This window comes from Homo sapiens, chromosome 6 (assembly GCF_000001405.40).
Source record: "Homo sapiens chromosome 6, GRCh38.p14 Primary Assembly".
Taxonomy (NCBI): Eukaryota; Metazoa; Chordata; class Mammalia; order Primates; family Hominidae; genus Homo; species Homo sapiens.
The window spans coordinates 87,147,370-87,170,086 of record NC_000006.12 but is presented as its reverse complement, the minus strand read 5'-3'; the positions used below and the strand labels follow the sequence as shown (position 1 = coordinate 87,170,086).

Here is a 22,717-nt window from a genome sequence, read left to right as displayed (position 1 = left end):
GTTAATGTATAATGTTTTAAGTTTTGTATATAGTGAAATCTATCATATTTGCAAAAAGTAGGGAAAGATCAGCAATACATGCATATGTTCATGTAGAAAAATGCAAAATGTAAACTATTTTGAGTATATACAAATTCTAGGCTGGGCACGGTGGCTCACGCCTGTAATCCCAGCACTCTGGGAGTCTGAGATGGGCAAATTGCTTGAGCCCAGGAGATCAAGACCAGTCTGGGCAACATGGCAAAACCCTGTCTCCACTAAAATTTCCAAAAATCAGCTGGGCATGGTAGCGCACATCTGTAGTCCCAGCTATCCAAGAGGCTGAGGTGGGAGGATCACTTGAGCCCGGGAGGTGGACGCTGAAGTGAGCTCTGATGGCGTCACTGCATTCCAGCCTGGGTGACAGTGAGACCCTGTCTCAAAACAGAACAAAACAAAAAAACAACTAAATGCTAATGGCTCATCTTTTAAAAGTAGCATAATCATTCCTATTTACTGGAAATAATTTTCTCAATATCACAAATAACTACTTCAATCAACTTTGGTAAATCAAAATTAGTGCTAGACTTAATTTAAATTATTTATATGAAATAGCTGATATAATAGCTTTCTGATTATCTGTATAACACTGTCTGCAATGAGGAACCAAGCCAATTGTTAATTACAGGGGGCCTTCAGTATCCATGGGTTCCATACCCATAGATTCAACAAAACTCGATGGAAAATACACTGGAAAAAAAAAAGGAGGCTGGGCGCAGTGGCTCACACCTGTAATCCCAGCACTTTCGGAGGCTGAGGCGAGCAGATCACTTCAGGTCAGGAGTTCGAGACTAGCCTGGCCAACGTGGTGAAACCCCGTCTTCACTAAAAATACAAAAATTAGCTGGGCATGGTGGCGCACCTGTAATTGCAGCTGCTCGGCAGGCTGAGTCACAAGAATCGCTTGAACCCGGGAGGCGGAGGCTGCAGTGAGCCGAGATGGTGCCACTGCACTGCAGCTGGGGCAACAGAGCAAGACTCTGTCTCAAAAAAATAAAAATTAAAAAAAAAGCAATAAAAAGTAACAATACGACAATAAAAATACAAACAAAAAACCAAAACCGTATAACAACTATTTACATAGCATCTACAGAGAAAGTATTTGGGAGGATGTGCTAGGTTATATGCAAATACTATGCCATTTCATTTAAGGGACTTGAGCATCTGGGGATTTTGGAATCTAAGGGGGGTCCTGGAGCCAATTCTCTACGAATACCGAGGGATGATCATACTATTTTTAAATTTAATTACCTCTTTCTAAATATAAAACCTGTTATTGGCCAGGCACGCTGGCTCACACCTGTAATCCCAGCAATTTGGGAGGCTGAGGTGGGCGGATCACCTGAGGTCAGGAGTTCGGGACCAGCCTGGCGAACATGGTGAAACTCCGTCTCCACTAAAAATAGAAAAATTAGCCAGGCACAGAGGTGCGCACCTGTAATCCCAGTTACTCGGGAGACTGAGGCAGGAGAATCACTTGAACCCAGGAGGCAGAGGTTACAGTGAGCTAAGATCATGTCACTGCACTCCAGCCTGACAAGAGCGAAACTCGACCTCAAAAAAAACTATTACGAAGCTAATATATAACATCACCTCCTATATATCAGGCATCAATAAGGATGCCAAATGTTCCACATGAAGACATTTTCCAGGTATTTGAAATTTTATTTTTTAAAGCGCTGCTTAGTTTTAGCCATTTAACCATATGCCTCAGTCTTCCTAAACAATCACTTAATAAAATTTAACATTTTTTGATGACACTGGGTCATACTGAGCAAGTATTACATAGTAGTAATGATGAGGTCCTACAAGGCAATTTGAATTAACTTGGACACTAAAACTAAATGGTTCTTGAATCCTATGATCTCATAGGTCTTCAGATTAAACAATTCATCGTTAGTAAAGCATCTAACAGTGCCTGTTCTGAATACTGATTCCCTTTCTCTTCAATCTGGTTGGTCTTGCCTCTAACTCCAAGGTTCCGCCCATTTGCAGATTATGGAAATTAGGTAACTGAATTTCCTAACTTGTAAGTAAAACAACATTACTGATTTTGGACAATGACAGTCTGAGTGAGGATAGGTGCCTTCAACCAAAGACAATGCAGAAGCTTCACTAAGAGTCCTTTTGGTTCTGCCTTTATAGGTAAAGAAAGGACTACACTCTGGATAATCATATTTGCTTTAATTTTGAATGCCAGTTAGGTGGCATTTTCTGAATCAGCGAAGAATTCCTACACAATCTTAGTTCAAATTACTTTCTCAACCACATAAAGAGCAGTAAAATATATCTGACAAACATAGCTCTCCTCAATCTCATAATTTCAAAAGTATTACAGGAAAACTAAATGTACAAACAGCAAGGTTGTCATTAAAACAGAAGTTTTTTGTTTTTTGTTTTTAAGACAGCGTTTCGTTTCATTCTTGTTGACCAGGCAGGAATGCAATGGCACGATCTTGGCTCACCGCAACCTCCACCTCCCTAGTTCAAGTGATTCTCCTTGCTCAGCCTCCCAGGTAGCTGGGATTACAGGCATGTGCCACCAAGCCCAGCTAATTTTTGTATTTTTAGTAGAGATGGGGTTTCACCATGTTGGTCAGGTGGGTCTCAAACTCCTGACCTCAGGTGATGCACCTATCTCATCCTCCCAAAGTGCTGAGATTACAGGCATGAGCCACTGCACCTGGCCTAAAACAGAAGATTCAAGAGTCAGCTGTACTTTAACTGAAAACAAAATGTATTGAGGGAAAAAAGATTTCAGGATTGCCTTCAGAAGTTTAACTTTTGCAAGTTTTTCGCTGAAGTGACAGCAAATTTTTCCTATACCAATAGTACAGTGTCTGCCACAAATCACGCACCAAGTAACTGCTAATGGAATAAATAAATGATTTTTCCTGCAGTTCACTTCCTAGTTTAAGGAAATAAATGGTAGTATTTTTACTATTAAAATAGTTTTCCAACACTACTACAATAAAACAGTATAACCTATTTCAGGAAAAGAGTCAAGTAACTCTTTAACAATAGAACACGGAAAACACAGGCAGCAAAATATACTTAATTTGAACCTGGATTCTAACCATATCCTAACTCTGGGACCTTGGGCAAATCAAAACTCAAAAGTGTTAATATCTGAGGACAAGTAAAGCTCTGAGAAAAAAATCTCAAAGAAATACTTATGGAGAACTTACTACATCAAAGCATTGTATGTACAATGAAGGAATCCAAAATCTGAGGACATAGAGCATGCAATATAGAAACAAAAGGCAACAAATGCATACATATTTATGACTCATGTATACTTTTCTAACCAAAACTGACAAAGCTTGAAAAAATTTTCAACCATTGAAAATAAAGTTAAATTATACTGAAAAATCCATGCTATACAAGCAACATAACATAGTCAATGACAGAAGTCAAAAGTAACTCTCAGAGCAAGTGCAGACCAGAGAAGGGTATACTTGGAAAATACGTGATCATGCTGGGCTTTAAGGTACAGGTAGAGTTGAGAATGATTCAAAAACTACTTGTTTATGATGTCTTCCTTGTGCCAGACACTGTGCTGGGAGCCTTCACCAGTGTCTCTTACTACCCTCTATGGGTAGGTGTTTATCATCCCTTACCTCAGCCTTATTTTTTCAAAGAAAGCATGACTTACAGAGCTAAATATTTCTCCCAGATTGTGGGGGAGCTCATAGTTGAACCCAAAGCCATTTGGCTTTCCACTATTGTAACACTGCAAAGTTATCTAAGCAGTCACAAAGGCAGTAAAATGAACAGATATGCTTGTGAGGAAATTAATAAATTTAAAGGGAGCAGGAAGTTCCTGTAGAATAATAAAAAGTAATGCTGAAAAAAGTAAACAATGGAGGGAGAGCGCAATGGGTTCATGCTTAAATGCAGATTTTTTCCTATGCATCAGTATTTCTCAAATCGGGTTCTGTGAACATAATATGTTGGGTTTCTAGCATTCACTTTAAGAAATGTAAAACTGTCCAGGTGACAGGGCTCCCGCCTGTAATCCCAACAGTTTGGGAGGCCAAGGCAGGCAGATCACCTGAGGTCAGGAGTTTGAGACCAGCCTGGCCAACATGGTGAAACCTAGTATCTACTAAAAATACAAAAACTAGCCAGGCTTGGTGGTGCCTGCCTGTAGTCCCAGCTACTCGGGAAGCTGAGGCGGGAGAATCGCTTAAACCTGGAGGCAGAGGTTGCAGTGAGCTGAGATCACGCCACTGCACTCCAGCCTGGGAGACAAGAGCGAAACTCTATGTCAAAAAAAAAAAAAAAAAAGAAATGTAAACATGTATTTTAATTTTGATGCTTCTCCTAAATAAAAGAATGTTCTGGGCCAACTAGACTAAAAGACTAGCTTAAACATAGGAACTGCCTACTTTTTTACTTACTACTGAATTGAATCCCAGTGACCCTCTAAAATAGTATTTTTCAAACTGTGGGTTATGACCTATTGGTGGATTATAAAATCAAGAGCAACATTTTAAAATAAGTGAAAAACTGAATGTGCCACACATAGTAAAGATAAGTATGGTTTTGTGGTCATTTTGTTTCAGTGTGACAACTAAATGGTGAAGTAAAATAAAGTTATATCTTACTCCCGGGTGAGTATCCCTTATCTGAAAATGCTTGGGACCAGAAGTGTTTACCATTTCAGATTTGAAATGCTCAACCTGGATAAGCTGAGGTTAATAACTTGTAACTCTAACTGAGATCTACAGACTTACTCTCTTTGATTTCTGCAAACTGAAATCTGAGAAACACTGTTACAAGAGGTAGACTGCCACTGAGAAAGACAAAAGCAGAACTTTGGGGAATTTCAAAAACCAAAAGGAATGTTAAAAGCGAGTTCATTGGGACAAGAACTAGGATGTCATTATTAGACTATACAAGGTAGAGATAATGTAACACAACAAATTCAGACCAGGTTTAATATCAAGGTAAACAAGCATAGTAAATAAAGAGGTCATTCTGGCCAGGTGAGGTGGCTCACGCCTGTAATCCCGGCACTTTGGGAGGCTGAGGCGGGCGGATCAAGAGGTCAGGAGTTCGAGACCAGCCTGGCCAACATGGTGAAACCCCATCTCTTACCAAAAAAAAAAAAAATTAGACGGGCATGGTGGCACATGCCTGTAGTCCCACCTACTTGGGAGGCGGAGGCAGAAGACTCGCTTGAACTGGGAGGCAGAGGTTGCCAGTGAGTCGAGATCACCCCACTGCACTCCAGCCTGTGCGACAGAGCAAGACTCCATATCAAAAAAAAAAAAAAAAAAGAGGTCATTCCACAAATCTTCTAAAGTCTCAGTGATGGGGCGGGGATGCCTCTCTTCTATTTAGAGATTGAGATCAGAAAGCAGGAATGCGAATGACTTTTGCCAATCGAAGGGACAGTCAGATGTGGTTAGAGAAGATGAGTGACAAAAAAGAAAGCAGAAGCAGTGCTATTGAAAGGAAAAAAATTAAATGTGTCCCATAAAAGTGCCTCACACTACAGTAGGGAATAAAGGGAAAAGGGACATGTGGTAGAGTGTTATAGAAATGGTCCCTAAAGAATCACATCTCCCTGTACCCATAGTATGTGTGATCCCCTTCCCACAAGGTGGCTGAGTTTGACCACTTAATTGGCAGTAGCTAATGGGACATCATTATAAATATGACACCAGGAGGGGCATACAAAGTAAAGCATGTGTGGAAAAGAACTTACTCTCTTGATGCTATGTAAAGAAATCCAGACTACCTTACTAGAGAAGGCTAAGAACAGAAAAATGAGCCAGCCCAAGTGAAGCCTTTAGACCAGCCTGTCTGACAACCACCAGACATATGAATGAAACCATCTGGGACTATTCAGCCCCAGAAAACATGAGAGCTGACTGCAGAACCACTCAGCAGACCCACTGACTTGTGAACAGTAATAAAAATGGCTGTTCTTTTAAAGGTACTAAGTTTTTGGATAGTTTGTAACATGACAATAACTGATACACGATACTTGGCGGGGCGAGGTGGGCGAAACAAGGGTTGTAACATTCTGAAATTAACTTTTATTTCAATGCCTCAAACTCAGAAGGATGAGTCTTTAGGCCATGTAACCATAAATCTACACTTACAAGATTAATCAAAACTTCTTGGCTTGGCATCCTAAAGTCTTAGTCTGGTTTTAATCTATCCTTTCAATCCTATCACTTGGCATTTTTCTCCAAAAATGCCAGTTTGAATAGTTGGTCCATTTATCTGAGCTTTTATTCTCATCCCTCCCACTTCTCTTTGGTTATCCAAAATCCTTCAAGATCCAATGTAAATACTGTTTTCCTTTCCTGCTCAATTTTCAGCTAAAATAATTTCAAGATGCTCTACTTCTCTTAATCCATGCTTACTACCCCACTAGATGCCTTACTATCTAATACTGTCACTTAACAATTGATACATGCTATAGATTTTGTAAGCTCTTTATGGGTGGAGGTCCACTCCATAATTCTCCATAGCTACCTTAGTGTTCCCACATAAGAACAATTTAAACATCTGATTAGAATAAATCAAAAGATATATGTAACTAAAATGTATGTGGTTTTTTTGGGGTTTTTTTTTTTTGAGGCGAAGTCTCGATCTGTCACCCAGGCTGGAGTGCAGTGGCGCCATCGTGGCTCACTGCAAGTTCTGCCTCCTGGGTTCACACCATTCTCCTGCCTCAGCCTCCTGAGTAGCTGGGACAACAGGTGTCCATCACCACACCCGGCTAATTTTTTGTATTTTTAGTAGAGACGGGGTTTCACCATGTTAGCCAGGATGGTCTCGCTCTCCTGACTTCATGATCTGCCCGCCTCGGCCTCCCAAAGTGCTAGGATTACAGGCGTGAGCCACCGCGCCCAGCCCTATGTATGTAACTGAATTTTAACAAATCTTCTTAGCTGAACATATATACTTAGAGACTTTAGTCTTTCTTTTTTTAATGTAAGTCAAGGGGGAAAAGGTAACATTTTTCTTTTGAGATACATTGTGCAACTGCCAATGCCAAAAGAAAAACAATGAATCAGGAGGCTCTCCTGGAAAATAATACATTGTTAAAAGTCACAGTGTATGTATGCTGACAAACATATTAATGAAAGCAAACTTTCCATTTTACAACTATAAGAGCATACTCACACTGATTGGTTAATTTTATAAACTGAATTTATCTGTAGGAGTTGGGAAAAATAATGTAACCTCTCACCTTTGACAGAATCTCAAGAAAATAAGTAGAGCAGCAGTTTTATAGTTAAAAACCTATGAAAATCCTGTTTGGCAGGTTAGTAAATGTTATGAAGTACAGCTGCAGAATAAATCTTCTCTTCCCTCATTTTAATTTAGGTCCAAAAAGGATAAGAAGGGGGCAAGCAAAGCTTAGTTTTGCTGAAATTGATATAAGCATACTCTGCAAAGTAGAATTTATTATCTCTAACATGCAATCATACTAATTATGAACATTTAAAAAATTATTTCCCATGAGCACTATCTAAACTTCTAAAAGTTTAAATGACTTATTGCTCCCTCAATACCTAAAGTAATTATCACTAATTAACAAGCAAGCTGTCTTTTCTTCTGATTTAAAGTGTCCTACAAATTAAGATAGCCTCTAATAGTCAAAAAGAAAGTCTAATTTTTAAGGAAAATGCTTAGTTTCAAAGATCTTGCAGTTATAATGTAACATGTATATAAACAAAAGAATCAACTTGTATCAAACTGATGAGACATAAAATATACAAAGAAATGTCCTAAATATGTAATCTAAACATTCTGTAGCTCTAACAGTTTTAATTTGGTTTTTATTTCTTATACCAATCAGGCACCAATAATGGCTAACAAAGGTAATGAAGACTAGCTCAAATAGTACCTCCTCAGGAAAGCCTTCCCTGATACCCCAGCCTGAAGTGCTTACTACCTACTTTGAACTCTTTAAGTTGCTATACATAAAATTAACTTACTCTCCTAAATATCCACTGATAATGAACTGATTAATTAGACCCAGCCATAGACTAGAATTACTATATACTATAATAGGGAAAGCCAAAAACTTACATGAGCAGCTATGGAATGAGCTAGAAGATGCTTTTGGGGGGAGGGAAAGCAAGATACAGTGTAGTTATCTTTATTTTCTTAAAAAGAGCAAACTAGTTCTGGAAACCATTAGGGGATTTGTCTTTGTGGAAATGAGACTGGAACTCTAGAATGGGAAAAAGATCAAGTTTTCATTGTATGCCCTTTCTCAGGGTGAATTTTAAAAAACCATTTCAATTAGTACATTTTCAATTTAAAACAAAACAAAACAAACAACAAAAAAGCAAAACCAGGCTGGGTGCAGTGGCTCACGCCTATAGTCCCAGCACTTTGGGAGACCAAGGTGGGAGGACTGCTTGAGCACAGGAGTTTGAGACCAACCTGGGCAATGTAGGGAGATCTTGTCTCCACAAAAAATTTTAAAGTTAGGCATGTTGATGTGCACCTGTGGTCCCAGCTACTCAGGCTGAGGCAAGAGGATCGCTTAAGCCCAGTTGGTCAAGGATGCAGTGAGCCGTGACTGTGTCACTGCACTCCCACCTGGGTGACAGAGTGGAGACCCTGTCTCAAAAAAATAAAAATAAAGCAAAACAATTTGTTAGTTAATACACTGCCTTTTGACATCTTTTCAGCTGTCATTTTGAAGTGATATTTAAATATTATCTTACTAATTTATATCCCACTAGTTGCCCGTATCTTTTATCTCCTATAACATCTAAACCTAGGTCCTTGCATATAAATGCTTTCTTAAAAGTACAGAATTTATTATATCAAAATGTCAAATCTTTTCTTTAATCAGGATAATTATGCTGAATTTGCTACCCTCTTTAACCTAGCAAAAGTTGTTTTACTAACTGTTTATGCAATTGCTTGTAATTTCTGCTAAGAAAGTAGAAAGTTTCTTGACCTCTCATGGTCAGTATAAATTATACTTAAATATTGTTGAATATCATTTACCTGGACCTGTTCCAAATAAAGTATATTTCTGGAGCTTAACTATCTCAATATGAAAAGAGTAGAAGGACTAAAAAAAAAAATCTTCTAGATATACTATTTTTCTTTCTGTTCAATGTTTCTGAAAAGGGTACTTAGAGGAATTACGCTTTCATTTGTTGGGACGGTCCTGATCACTTCAGAAAACTTAGCATTGAAGCTCATGGGCACTAAATGCCAGTACCACATCCCTAGTCATAGCAACATCCAAAAACCTGATCCCACATATTTCTAAGTGCCATCAAAGAGAGAACTGGAGGTAGGGAAAGTACTATGCCCAGTTGAGAAGCCCTGCTTATATGAACTAAGAAAATTATATATATATATATACACACACACATCATATATATGTATATATACACACACACACACCGTATACATGTATGTATACACACACACATCGTATATATGTATATATACACACAAACATATTTTTTTATTAGAGTCTCCTGTATCTTATATCCTCTGTAACATCTAAACCTAGGTCCTTGCATATATATACACACACACACACACACACACATATATATACAAACACATGTACGTATGTATACACATACACACACGACTGTAATTCAACCCTTCAAAACAACTGTCAGCCACCAGATCACTACTGATCAATGGTCAATAACAGTTACAATCAACCAGTCGGCCAGTCCAGTATATAGTGCTGTCAGCAAATATCATACTCCAACAAATCAACTATTACAATGGCCAATTTTTCCAACGAACTATTATTTTAAAATCTCTTTAGAACAACTCCTCTGTTGGAATGTTTCTTTTAAAACTCCCAAATAACCTCCCTCTTTACTGTACTCACCTCAGTGATAAAATATATAAATCATAGTTTACTACGATTATCTGTCTACCTTCCTCCAGAGACTATAAACTCTTTGAAGCCAGGGACCATGATCATCCTTGCCTAGCCTGTATACAGTAGATGTTCAATAGAAATGTTGAATGAGTGACTACTGGCCCAGTCTAATACAATTAACTAGTCTAAAAGGTTCCAATTATAACCAATTTTTGTATAATAAATACAGTAATAATCCTAAAACAAGTAAATGCAAGAAATTACTTCTGGTTATTCTATATACTTATTCTAAGTCAATTTTAAGAAAATGAGTTGGTTATATTGCCCATATTAAAGCTAACTTTGAAAAGATACAAGGAAATTTAAGAGCTGGGCATGGTGGTGTATGCCTGAGGTCTCAGCTACTTAGAAGGCTGAGACAGGGCCGGGCGTGGTGGCTCACGCCTGTAATCCCAGCACTTTGGGAGGCCAAGAGGGGCGGAACCAGCCTGACCAACAAGGAGAAACCCTGTCTCTAGTAAAAATACAAAATTAGCCGGGCATGGTGGCACATGCCTGTAATCCCAGCTACTCAGGAGGCTGAGGCAGGAGAATTGCTTGAACCCAAGAGGCGGAGGTTGTGGTGAGCCCAGATTGCGCCATTGCACACCAGCCTGGGTGACAGAGTTAAACTACATCTTTTTTAAAAAAAAAAAAAAAAAAAAAGAAAGAAAAGAAAGCTGAGACAGGAGGATCACTTGAGCCTAAGAGTTTGAGGTTGTAGTGTGCTATGATCATACCTGGGCAATGTAGCAAGACCCCATCTCTCAAAAATAAAATAAAATATATAAAAAAATTTAAAATTTATGACGGGCGCTCTACTATGCCCATCCTCTACTTACTCTTCCCTCCTCCCACTTAAGCTTTAAGCAAATTCTCATTTAAATAAGCAAAGGGGGGGCAGGTGGCTTATTTCCAGAATGAGCAAAACAACACTGTTAATAAGAAAAACATTTAATGCCTTTCGTTTCTATTCTGCTACTCAGAATTCAAAAAATCTATTAATCTTCTACCTCACTCAAAAATAAAAATCTATAAACTACGGATCATAAGCAACTCCTGTTTCTGTGGGTTTCACCACATTCTCCAGAAACTGAACTTTTGCTCATAAAAATTACATAGAATGTAAACTAATTCATTTTTTAAAGTAAATGCAAAACTAAGGGTTACACAAGCACTGAGCATCAACACTGACAGAATATTAATTCTGAAGCCCATTAACTTTGACAAACGTTTATTCATCTTTGCCTTCTTGAAGCGTGTGACTATCCCAGTTTTACAGGAAAAGCTTAAACAGAAAAAGTTAAATAATAATCTCAAGGTTAGAAACTAAGACATAATTTCTAGCTCCTAGTATCCCTGGTACTATATTTAGATTGCGCCAATAAATTCTTTAATTGTTAACCATTGCTTCACTCAACTTCGTATCAAAATGCTAGGTGATAATTGCTAAGATACAATTTTATTTTTATTTTTTATTTTTTTGAGACAGGATCTTTCTCTGTCACCCGGGCTGGAGTGTGCACAGTGCACCATCTCTGCTCACTGCAACCTCTGCCTCCCGGGTTCAAATGATCCTCCCACCTCAGCCTCGTAAGTAGCTGGGACTACAGGCACTCGCCACAGCGCCTGGCTAATTTTTTTGATTTGTTTTGTTTTTTGTATTTTTTGTAGAGAAGGGGCCACGCCATGCTGCTCAGGCTCAAGCGATCCGCCCAACTCGGCCTCCCAAACTGCTGGGATTACAGGTGTGAGCCACCTCCACCCCTGTAAATAAACATAAATAAACAATTGTTTCAAGTTACCTCCACTTGACAAGATCACTAACATAAATAGGTTACCTGAGAAACAAAACAAAAAACCCCACCCCAGAAAATGTTCCAGAGGAAATCAGACACACTCTGTATCGTTTCAAATGGAGATTACTTTTAAGTGTATTTAAATTATTCTGAGCTTACAGTGTATGAAATATTTTATAATTTTTGAAATCCACAAATCCAGCATTTGTTTCATTAGTGTTTGATGTTTTTTTGTCAGTAGCATCAATAACAATTTATGTGGCAAGACTAATCACTTAATGAAACTGATATAGGAAATTACTTTCATTCTGATTTTTAAAATGCTGTTTCACTCATTAAAAAACTCAAGTCTGGCGGGACGCGGTGCTCACACCTGTAATCCCAGCACTTTGGGAAACAGAGGTGGGTGGATCACTTGAGGTCAGCAGTTCGAGACCAGCAGTTCGAGACCAGCCTGGCCGACATACAGTGAAACCCCAAACCTCATCTCTACTAAAAACACAAAAATTAGCTGGGCTTGGTGGCGCACGCCTGTAGTCCCAGTTACTTGGGAAGCTGAGGCAGGAAAATCGCTTGAACCCAGGAGATGGAGGCTGCAGTGAGCTGAGATCGCACCACTGCACTCCAGCCCGGGTGACAGAGCAAGACTCCATATCTCAAAAATAAATAAATAAATAAAAATCTTTAAGTGATAACTTTACAACGTCACACACTCACAAAAAAGCGGGGGGGAGTCCAGCTTGCATGAGATTCTATTTTCCCAGAATTATTAATCCTGCTTACAAATACTGCTGACAAAAAAAGAATTTACAGTAATTAGCCTTAAAACTATCAGTGGACACTATTAGGGGAAAATGTCTTTCAGCAAAGCTAGACTTTAATAGTTTTCACTGATTATTATATAAAAACTGATTCGACTTACAAATGAAATACTTCCTATTATGGGTATCTTAGAGAAATTTTTTTATCTCTAAAATAAATCTTTAAAGACCAATTAAGAATGAGTGGGTACTGCAAAGTAGAGAAACTGAGAAATTTCAACAATTTTTAAATATTAAAATTCAAAGGAATGAGACTTTAATTTTGCCACAGGTACTCACCAGACCTATTTACCTAAGTAGGGAGCTTTCACATTGCACATCCTCCTAGACGTCACCACTTGATCTCACAGTTTTTGTTTTTAAGATTATGAACAGCCATCAAATAATTTGTGACAATAAAGTGCATACAGCAACGGAGATTCTTTTGTATGTGATCACGTATCCCCGACATAATAAAGAAAATATTTCAATATTTGGAAGCTAAAAAATAAGTGAAAATGTAATCTACTCAGCTAAAATGGTCAACCATTGTTCTACGTTAAGATCAGTATTTTTCCAAAACGAATTCTCTGTAATGATACACTCACAAGTTAACTCTAAATATGACCTGTGTAAATTGTGTCTTCTTTTTCCTCCTCAAGACAATCAAATCAAAGTCTTCACCAGAGCCAGCAACACTACCTTGAAATTTTAAACCTAAGTGTAAGGCTCGTAATGAAGTGCAAATGTAGTCCCAAACTCTCCGATTTTCACCATGGATGAAATGATTTTCATCACTAGCAAACAGTGTTATTAACATTCCAAATTCTGGTTAGAATGCAGTCACTGGTGAGCAGTGCCCTTGGGCAAGCAAAGAAAAGATTTGAAACTACCCAAAGCACAGATCCACATGAACCTCAGTCTTCTCCCACTTCATCAGGAAGCCAAATAGGAAGGACTCCAAGAAACAGGGGTGAGGGGGTGATCGGGACAGAAAGGATAGTGGAAATCATACTCCTCGAAGGGCGAAAGCAAATGAGAAACGGACTCTGGAAAAACCGCCCCAAAAGGACACTCAACCTGAGACAGATGTACAGGCACAGCTCCTCTACACTAAGGAGATAAAGCTTTACCACAGAAGTGATGCACCAAGCAAGCAAGTATGGGCAGGAGGGGACAACCTCCGCCAAGCACCCCCTCCCGAACGTCTAGCTCAACTAGAAGGGGTCGGCGGGGACTGCTCCTCCGAACATCAACAAAGGCCCCTTCAGTCCTAAGGCGAAACTCGAACAACAAAGGCCCGGAGACAGCCAGGACAGGGCCGGGGCTGGGGGGCGGGACGGATGAAAGCAGGGGAAGGCAAAGGAATCAAACCAGTGGGGGCGGAGGCCCGTCGGAGTGGGAAGCAGAGGCGCAGAGGCGGGAGGCGCGGTAATCCCCAGTGCACAATAAAAGGAGGAGGAGGAAGAGAACCTGGCCTCCATTCTCCTACTCTCTCCAATCCGCACCGTGTACATTTCCTCAGCCGCGGGGACCGCGCAGTCCCGAGTTCAGGGAAGGAAAGGGGAGGGGGGATTTTCCGCCTTGACCGCAACTCCCTTCCCCCAGCCAGGAGCTGCAGACGACAACAACCGCCACAACTGCAGCCACACAAAGGCGCCTTCCTTCTACTCCCGCTCCCACCCAGGCGGAGGCGCCGATGATGCCAAGGAAGCGGCGACCACCTCTCGGCCGCCTAGCGCTCGCTCGCCCTCTTCCCCCTCTAGCTGGGGAAAGGGGGAGGGGACCACCGGGCGCCCTCACCTGGCACAGCTGCTGACAGTAGTCGGTGGCCGCTTCCACGGCCGGTACCCGGCTCTCCCGCAGCTGTAGCTCCAGCTCCTGGAGCCGCTCGCCCAGGCGCTGCAGCTCCGCGACGCAGCCGCCTTCGCCGCAACTCAACCTCTCCTGCTCGGCCTCTTCGTCCGCCATCTTCACACCCCGCTCCGTCGCGTACGCACCTGGGTCACGTGATAACACAATGCCACGTTCGGCGGGGTCACGTGCCGGGCGCGCTTGCACGGCGCCGAGCACGTACAAAGGGCCCGATGGGGAAGATATGGGGGTGGGGAGAGTGGCGCGAGAGAGCCCGAGGGAGGTGAAGGCAAGGGGAAAGGAGAAGGGCGGGGTTGGGGCGGTGCGGAAAACGGCGGTTTACTTACCCCGAGCGGGAAGTGGGCAGCAGCGGCCGAAAGGGGCGGGCTGGTGAAGGCCTGCTCTCGGTCACGTGGGCGCCGCGACGGGAAAAAGCCTAGGGAGGGGCGACCCTCTCCGGCGTCCCGATCCCGGCGTGGCTTTCCCCAGTCCACGAAGTCTTCTACGGACATATCCTCCTGTTCCCCAAGAGGATGGCACAGGGAGAGTTCTGAGTGGTCTCGGGCAATGGCTGCATTTGCTGTTGGCCTGTAAGCAGGCCAGAAGCAGAGGAAGAGAGAGAAGGTAAAACCCGCCCATGGACCGCAAGCGTGAGAGCCAAGGCAGGACTATGAACTGTCAAAATTGTCTCTGACTTCTCACCAGGCCGGAGAGGAGGGATCTAGTGCGTGAGGTACCAGATCTCGTCTCACTTGACTCTCCTCCTCTTCAGCACCAAGAACGCCTGTCCCCTGGAAACACATTCTCTAGGGGGTGGAGGCAACAAAGGAAAAGAACAATTGGGTCAGAGCAGAATGAGGTTCAATCCTCAGTCTGGAGAACGGAGCAAATTCATGAAAAGCATAGTTTAAAAGAAGTCAGAATATGAACAGACCAGATGACTTTTAAACCACGAAAACATTTCTAGAATAAGTGATAACTAACTACTCTGTTTCACCGTGATTTAGACTCTACTACACTCTACAGAAATCACCAACAATGACAACAGGCTATATATGAAAGCTATTGAAAAGAAAGTAGGTCAAGGAAAAAAAAAACACCAATAAGGACTCCATTAAAAATCATAACGGAGGAGAGGAAATTGATGCTAAAATAAAACAATATTGTCGAGAATTATTATAAATATCTACAGCATTTTTTTTTCCTAATGCTACAAATAGAGGTAGCATTCTGAACCACATTTTACTTACAAGCTGAAAAGAATTAATACTTGGCACTTGAACAAAAGAGTAGAAGAGGTGCTACAAAAATCCAAGAGCTTAACCCTAAAGTTCTTAATAAAACTAATATTTTTTTTACCGTTAGAGCATTAGACAAAAGACCTATCTCTCTTGCAACTGAATAGTCTACAGAAATTTAGAAACAATGATATTGATGAGGCACCCAGTCTTTTCATTTACTCTGAGTGAAGTATATTTTTTTAGTACAAGGATCTAAAATAAAAATACTTCCCATTGTGGGCAGCGTCCTCTTCAAAAGATTTCTAGTAATTAATGGAAAGTGTTCTACATACTATGTTGTCCAGAATAAATGTTTTATAACGCATCAGTGATGGTGATGTTTTTAAAGCGGCATTATATAAGGTGACCAGGCACAGTTAAACCCCTTATGAAAAACAGTATCAGTTAATATTACATATTAACAAGGTAGAATCTTCAAATGTTTAATCTTCAAATGTTTACTCATGGAAGAGACTGGGAAGTACATTCAAAGGCTGAGAAGAGAGGATATAATAGTATCACTGAGTTGAAAAAGGAACAATTAAGGCAGCTAATGATTTTTAATATTTTCAGTTCACTTTCCCAAGTTAAGTATTTTAGATACCCAAACCAGGTTTCACCAGTTTATGTTATCTTAGGATTCCAGTGAAAAAATGCAAAAAGGGAAATATGAGGTTAGCCAAATGTACCCGTAAATCCAAGGTAAGGTATCACAGGTTAGCAAGCTCATTTCCACTTCAAGTATAATGGTTTACACCACACCTAATCTATAGAAAGAAAGAAAAAATGGGGGTTGAGGGGTGGGAGACATATATATCCAGATATTGATTTTTAAGAGAATTGCCTGATAATGTAGGTCATTCCTACCTCTTGCACATAACAACCCTAAAACTATGGAGACTTGATTAGCAAATTGATTCTGAGCACCATTACTATCTGGTAAATGTCCATCAGCATGGATGGCCATGTCTTTATGTTTATTTAGTATCTGTGAACCCTATGTCCACATTCCTCCATTTCTTCTCCTTTGCACACACATAGAAATATTTAGAGCCTACAGGAAATGTAAGGATTGGGGGTGAGTGGTGTAATTAACACTCATTTATTGTGTACTTGATATTTGCAGGCACTACTTGGTTTGGGACAAGTCAGAGGCGAATAAAAGCTCTTCCTGCCTTGAAGAAGCTTACAGTTTTGTGGGAAAATGATCTGCAATGGGAATACATACGATATGACAAATGTTCTATTATGAAAATGCATGCCTGTATTCAACTTAGAACATCAAAGTAATCTCAGATACTAACAAGAATGTCCAACGAATCTCTACATAAGTGCAGGCTTTTTTTTTTTTTTTTTTTTTTAATGAGAAGGATTGAAAATACTATCCCGTGACAGGTCAACCTTGTCTTGGAAATCTCAGAAATCTCAATCTTATCCATAGAAAAGTCATGACTTCTGTGCTTATGTCCATTTGTTCTTTAAATACCAAACTGTCAGCTCATAGGAACCATTTACACACACACACTGACACACACACAAACACGCACACCCCTACTTACTGAGATGTTCCTGGGGAGATTCGAAGACCTGTTCCATTGAGAAAACAAGAATAAGCCCCTGGGGCAAAAGACTCCGCGTCTCTGGGGAACTCAGTATCCGCGCCGCGAGCACCCATGCCCATTTTGAACACAACGCGACTGCTAAGGACGTGGTGTAATCATATGGACCTTCACTCCCAAGAGACTCGATTTCAGAGAAAATCTGGGAGACAAATTTAGATCCCTACCCGCACCCACGCGATCAATAAAGCTGGGGAGACCTTTGGGGGAGGGGACAGATGTGCTTGCATCCGGGCCGTGCGTGCCTGCTTCACGGGTTTTCCGGGCAGCACCGGCCCGCACACGCCGGTGCACTCTTTTTCTGGAATTCTTGAAATAGCCGGGCCTGAGGACAGTAAGGGAGCTGAGTTGTGTCTGCTACAGACAAGCGGCGCAGAGCCTGGGGGCCAAGCCAGGGATGCAGGGAGCGCGGCGTTAGCGGATGACGGATAGCTCAGGGCTAAGGCCTGGCAGGTCCTTCCTACCCCCGACCCAGTACACCCCGCAGCCCCGCCCTCGCCCCAGCACGCGAGGTGAAAGCGCGAGGCCCGGGGATGGCGGAGAGCGTGCGCCACTATCGGGGCGCTGTCTCTTGCCCCGCTCTCGCCCTGGGCCGGAGAACGGAGAAGGTCCGCAGGCCTCGGGCCACGGAGGGCACCAGATCGGTCCGCTCTGCTCCGCTAACCCAGCCTGCGCCCCTCCACCCCGCCAAGGCCCTGCTGGGCGCTGCGCCGGTTGCTCGCGTCCTCTGTTGTCGCGGAGCCGCCGCCGCCGCCGCCCGCGAACCAGCAACGCCGACACCCAGCAGTTGCAGGCCCGGCGTTTGCCGCCGCGGTTTTTCCACCCAGCACTGAGGATCAAGCCCGCTGTAGCCTGGCTGCGACTCCCCGCTTGGGAGCAGAGGCCGCCAGGGGCCTCCAGGCCGAGAGATTCTGGAGCCTTTCCAGGGCGCGGCGGGGAGCGGGGCCTCCGGAAACCCACCCCGGGGATGCTGGAGTCTGTCCTGCAGAGGCCGTGGCGCGGGCACTGCTGCCTGATTTCGAAGAGGCTCCATCAACCTACTCTCTTCCAAAGGGCTGGGCAGCCCAGCCACAGACAGGCAGCCTCTGGATCTCAGAAGTGAGGGACGGAGTCTATCCTGGGTTTGGTCCAGTAGAAACCCCCCACCCCCACCCCCAGAGTCTGGGAACCAGTGCTGTGCCCACAGATGCAAAGAGAAAGAGCATGGGTTAAAGCGCTATTGGGATCGGTTAGACACCACACTTTTCCAAGGAAGACATTTTCTTCGAGAGGAACAGCAAAAGGAGTCAATATAATGTTAAAAATATTAAGGCAGGTGCTGTGCCACATGTTGAAGTGATTCCAAAAGCAGAGAAAACATGGGACTCACATTTAAGAGGATTAATTGTAGCCTTTGAGTTTTTCCCAGAAAAAAAAAAAAGGCTAGCATATATATTTTCATATATTTATATGAACAGGTAATTAAATAAGGAGGGATTTTAAAAAATTGTCTATTTGGATATCGTTTTCCTTTCCATTTGAGGAAAAGCCAAATGCAAATAAGGAGAATAATATTTAAAGAACATGCTTTTAATAGAGCCTCAATTATCCTTCTAATTTAACCAAGATGAAAATAATTGTGAAATAAAGCAAAATAAAATCTTGGAAGCATAAATGTGTTATACATTGTTCTTTTGTTTGTTTGTTTGAGACGGAGTCTCACTCTGTCTCCCTAGGCTGGAGTGCAGTGGCGCGATCTCTGCTCACTGCAACTTCTGTCTCCCGGGCTCAAGCGATTCCCCTGCCTCAGCCTCCCAAGTAGCTGGGATTACAGGCACCCACCAACACACCAGGCAAATTTTTGTATTTTTAGTAGAGATAGGGTTTCACCATGTTGACCAGGCTGGTTTCGAACTACTGACCTCAAATGATCAGCCCGCCTCGGCCTCCCAAAGTGTTGGGATTACAGGCGTGAGCCACCACACCCAGCCTGTTTCTATAGAGAATCCTGGAGTTGGTTCACAGCATTTCTCCAAAGAATCAGAGAGAAATAAATATTTTAAAGTGCCTTTCTTTTCCTATATTTCTAAATTTTAATCACTGTGCCTCATTTGCCTCATCAGAAATTCAAGGTTATTTAAAAAAATTAGAGAATACAACTTTTGTGGCATTTGGCTTTTTAAAGAAATAATACTGTGCAGATGTGACAAACTTGGAAATTCCCAGGTCTCTTCCCATTTTAGGACATCAACTTCTTAGTTTTGCTGGTTTCTGTAATTCTTATAGATATGTTCTTCAATATAACAACAATAATAATAATGTAAATAATATCATTTTGAGTAGTATTCAGCTCATGTATCAGGCCAGAATTGTTGTTCCCACCAAGTGTTTACCCTCTGTCACATTATCACATCTTTACAAAAATATTCTCTTTTTTTTTTATTTTTATTTTTTTCTTTGAGATGGAATCTCACTGTGTCTCCCAGGCTGGAGTGCAGTGGCTCCATCTCGGTTCACTGCAACCTCCGCCTCCCGGGTTCAAGCGATTCTCCTGCCTCAGCCTCCCGAGTAGCTGGGGCTACAGGCGCCCGCCACCACACTGAGCTAATTTTTGAATTTTTAGTAGAGACGGGGTTTCACCATGTTGACCAGGCTGGCCTCAAACTCCTGAACTCAGGTGATCCACCCGACTTGGCCTCCCAAAGTGCTGGGATTACAGGCTTGAGCCGCCGTGCACGGCCTCACAAAAATATTATCTTACTCATTGCTCCTCTCCTCAAATCCTCATCCTCATAAATTTCTCTGTAACCAGGCTCCTCTGTGAAGCCTTCTTTGTTGTGCTTGGTGTGCTCTGGTGGAGTAAAATCTGGGTGCAACATCTGTAAACAGAGTAGATTTGACTTATTTGTTCTGCTTTTCCTTAGGTTACCTGCCTCACAAATAGTCACTCTCCAAAGCTCCTATTGTTTTGATTTACTGCTTACTGCATTTTTATTTGAAATCTGTCATTTTGCCTTTTATTAAAGTTAGTCTATAGATGAGCCTTGTTCACCATCCTGTAAGCCCTTTGAGAGTAGAACTGTATCTTATAACCGGCTTACCTCCTCTAATACCCTTTGGCAAATTGCAGTATAATAAGTAATCGATAAATGCACATTGAACTAGATTCAATTCTGTTTATACTTGGCAGTCATATATTGATTTATACTTATCATCATTATTATCTAAAATATTCTAGACTCTACAGAGAGATCAGATGCCTTCTAAACTTTAGGACCTTATTTATAATAGTCTTTCAAATATTTTAGGAGACTAAGATTTATCAACAAAATTGTCTATAATCAAAGTTATAACACAAGTAAAATCAAAAGAAGACAAGATGTATGCTCAGTTATTACAGTATAACAGATGAACTGCAAATACATGGTCTCTAGCTTTCTCTTTCACAAACTTAAGGGAAAAACTCATGATGAAGCTACTGAGAAAATAATCATGTTAAGGAAACAATTGGATTGGAAATTTGGAATCTGTTGAGATAATTTTAAAAATCTGTATTGTGACAAAATGTAAGAGAGATGGCAAAATTTTAAAAAGCACAGATTGAGTTTTTTCCCTAACATCTAGCTCACTCCCTAATATGGGCCCTAAGACCTTCCTAGAAATCTAAGGAGAAAATAAACATAAGGAGAGTATCTCCAGGTAGGACTTATTCTTCAGGGAGGAAATAACCTTAGAGCAGAGTTTCTCAAACTTAGTCTTATAAAGAGTACTTAGACAATTTGACTTAAATGCAGATTCTCAGGTCACACCTCTAGAAAGTCTTATTCAGTACATTGAGGTTGGGCACTGGAAACCTGCGTTTCTAACTAACACTCCAGGGCCTTTCAGATTATACAGTTCTAGACCTGTGGTTGTCTAATTCTGTCTTCTCTTTCTTTTCTTCAACTTATGTCCCTTTCACCAATTTTATAAAAAATGCTTGAATACCTTCCTTCTGGCTCCATCCAGCAGTGGGCATAAAGAACTTTAAAACAATTAGAGCTAACTTGTCATAATTTCTTCAGATCTTCCTGATTATCCCAAGTGTTTGTTTTGTGAATCATTTGGACCCTAAGCCCTAGTTCAATGCCTGGCACATAGTGGGTATGTTTTCAATAAATATGCATTTTCCAATCCCTTCCTTGTGCATTCTCTAGCAAGGTTACTTGCTGAGGACAATAACTTTATTACTTATTAACAGCTGTATCAGAAGAGGTATGCAGGGATAGAAGGAAGGCAGTTCAAAACTTTTCTGTATTTATCTGCTATGACAAAAGGCATTTTTCATTTTATACATGTAAGGGTAAATGGAGAGGGAAGAGAGCCAGTTAAAATTTTCATCTGGTTGAGTTTCAAATGTCCATGGTTTCAATAGTCCCTATAATTGAGAATTAGGTGCTATTAATTTTTAAATTATAAACATAATCTCTGTTTGTGGTAAAAATTTCAAGCAGCAAAGGAAGACATAAAATAAAAAGTAAACATTTTCTTCCTCCATTTCTGACCTCTTGTTCTATCCCATTCACTACACTCAGGAATATTAATAGTTTCTTGCTTGTCCTTTAAGAATTTTTTTCTCATATATAAACATTTATGGTTACATCAGCTTCTCACTTTCTGAAACAAATCAGCTCATACCTCCTATTTGGGCAGTTCTTTGCCTTCCTTTTTTCCCTTAATAGTTCATTTAGAAATCTTTTCATGTCAGTATTCTTTTTAATGGCTGTGTGGTATTCGACAGTATAACACAAGATAATTTAATTATTTCATTGATGAGCAATTAGGTTAATTCCATTTTTTTAACTATTAAAAAGGATGCAGATGCAGTGACCTTCCTTGTGCACATATGTGATTATATCCATGGAATAAATTCCCTAAAGAGGAGTTGTTAGATCAAAAGCAGTGTGTAATTTTTTCTTTTTTTTTTTTTGAGACAAGGTCCTGCTCTGTCACCCAGGCTGGAGTGCAGTGTCATGATCATAGCTCACTACAGCCTGGATCTGCTAGGCTCAAGCAATCCTCCACCTCAGCCTCCTGAGTAGCTAGGACTACAGGTATGTGTCGCCATGACTGGCTAATTTTGTTTATGTTTTTGTAGATGCAGGATCTCACTATGTTGCACAGACTGGTCTGAACTGTGCTTGAGTGATCTTCCCTCCTTGGCCTCCCAATATGCTGGGTTTATAGGTATGAGCCACCTCTCCCAGTTGCAAGGTGTGATTTTAATTGTTAGATGGCCAAATTGCCCTTCCAAAATGTTGCATCAACCTATATTAAGAGAGCTGATTTTCCAGAAATCCCTAATAAAACTGTGATTTATCCACCTTAAAAATAATTTCATAGTTTTAAAATAATATCTCATTTTGATGAATGTTTCCCAAATTTTGGATCAAATTGAGCATCTTTTGACTTGTTGGCTGCT

At 41.0% G+C, this 22,717-nt stretch overlaps 2 protein-coding genes across 4 annotated transcripts in view, besides 9 other annotated features; one reads left to right on the top strand and one right to left on the bottom strand.

Annotated features, from left to right (window-relative positions):
• The window catches only part of ZNF292 (zinc finger protein 292), a 110,379-nt gene extending 95,857 nt beyond the window's left edge, over positions 1 to 14,522 (bottom strand). For all 3 annotated transcript variants that reach the window (XM_047418459.1, NM_001351444.2, NM_015021.3), the window contains exon 1: positions 14,328 to 14,522. Coding sequence is in view for 1 of the 3 variants with exons in the window: in NM_015021.3 (NP_055836.1) it covers positions 14,328 to 14,495 (168 nt within the window). In the remaining 2 variants the exon portion in view is untranslated. The remainder of the gene's footprint in view (positions 1 to 14,327) is intronic.
• Positions 397 to 896: an enhancer, noted in NCBI's record as "H3K4me1 hESC enhancer chr6:87878909-87879408 (GRCh37/hg19 assembly coordinates)". NCBI's record gives its function as "activates a minimal SCP1, AML or CMV promoter by ChIP-STARR-seq in primed H9 embryonic stem cells {active_cell/tissue: H9 hESC(primed)}" and the evidence as "EXISTENCE:reporter gene assay evidence [ECO:0000049][PMID:30033119]".
• Positions 897 to 1,398: an enhancer, noted in NCBI's record as "H3K4me1 hESC enhancer chr6:87878407-87878908 (GRCh37/hg19 assembly coordinates)". NCBI's record gives its function as "activates a minimal SCP1, AML or CMV promoter by ChIP-STARR-seq in primed H9 embryonic stem cells {active_cell/tissue: H9 hESC(primed)}" and the evidence as "EXISTENCE:reporter gene assay evidence [ECO:0000049][PMID:30033119]".
• Positions 13,096 to 13,703: an enhancer, noted in NCBI's record as "H3K27ac hESC enhancer chr6:87866102-87866709 (GRCh37/hg19 assembly coordinates)". NCBI's record gives its function as "activates a minimal SCP1, AML or CMV promoter by ChIP-STARR-seq in naive H9 embryonic stem cells {active_cell/tissue: H9 hESC(naive)}" and the evidence as "EXISTENCE:reporter gene assay evidence [ECO:0000049][PMID:30033119]".
• Positions 14,215 to 14,554: an enhancer, noted in NCBI's record as "active region_24794". NCBI's record gives its function as "activates an Ori minimal core promoter by ATAC-STARR-seq in GM12878 lymphoblastoid cells {active_cell/tissue: GM12878}" and the evidence as "EXISTENCE:reporter gene assay evidence [ECO:0000049][PMID:35858748]".
• Positions 14,825 to 14,984: an enhancer, noted in NCBI's record as "active region_24793". NCBI's record gives its function as "activates an Ori minimal core promoter by ATAC-STARR-seq in GM12878 lymphoblastoid cells {active_cell/tissue: GM12878}" and the evidence as "EXISTENCE:reporter gene assay evidence [ECO:0000049][PMID:35858748]".
• LOC124901355 (translation initiation factor IF-2-like) lies at positions 14,840 to 18,931 on the top strand. The gene is made up of 2 exons (XM_047419630.1): positions 14,840 to 15,111; positions 16,785 to 18,931. Exon 2 carries the CDS (start codon positions 17,699 to 17,701, stop codon positions 18,377 to 18,379), a length of 681 nt encoding a protein of 226 aa, XP_047275586.1. The 5' UTR covers positions 14,840 to 15,111; positions 16,785 to 17,698; the 3' UTR covers positions 18,380 to 18,931.
• Positions 17,498 to 17,998: an enhancer, noted in NCBI's record as "H3K27ac hESC enhancer chr6:87861807-87862307 (GRCh37/hg19 assembly coordinates)". NCBI's record gives its function as "activates a minimal SCP1, AML or CMV promoter by ChIP-STARR-seq in primed H9 embryonic stem cells {active_cell/tissue: H9 hESC(primed)}" and the evidence as "EXISTENCE:reporter gene assay evidence [ECO:0000049][PMID:30033119]".
• Positions 17,498 to 18,029: a biological region, named in NCBI's record as "H3K27ac hESC enhancer GRCh37_chr6:87861807-87862307".
• Positions 17,910 to 18,029: a silencer, noted in NCBI's record as "silent region_17371". NCBI's record gives its function as "represses an Ori minimal core promoter by ATAC-STARR-seq in GM12878 lymphoblastoid cells {active_cell/tissue: GM12878}" and the evidence as "EXISTENCE:reporter gene assay evidence [ECO:0000049][PMID:35858748]".
• Positions 18,230 to 18,299: an enhancer, noted in NCBI's record as "active region_24792". NCBI's record gives its function as "activates an Ori minimal core promoter by ATAC-STARR-seq in GM12878 lymphoblastoid cells {active_cell/tissue: GM12878}" and the evidence as "EXISTENCE:reporter gene assay evidence [ECO:0000049][PMID:35858748]".

Coding starts and splice junctions, on each gene's coding strand:
- LOC124901355 (XM_047419630.1), top strand. CDS start 17,699: ATGACGGATAGCTCAGGGCTAAGGCCTGGCAGGTCCTTCCTACCCCCG.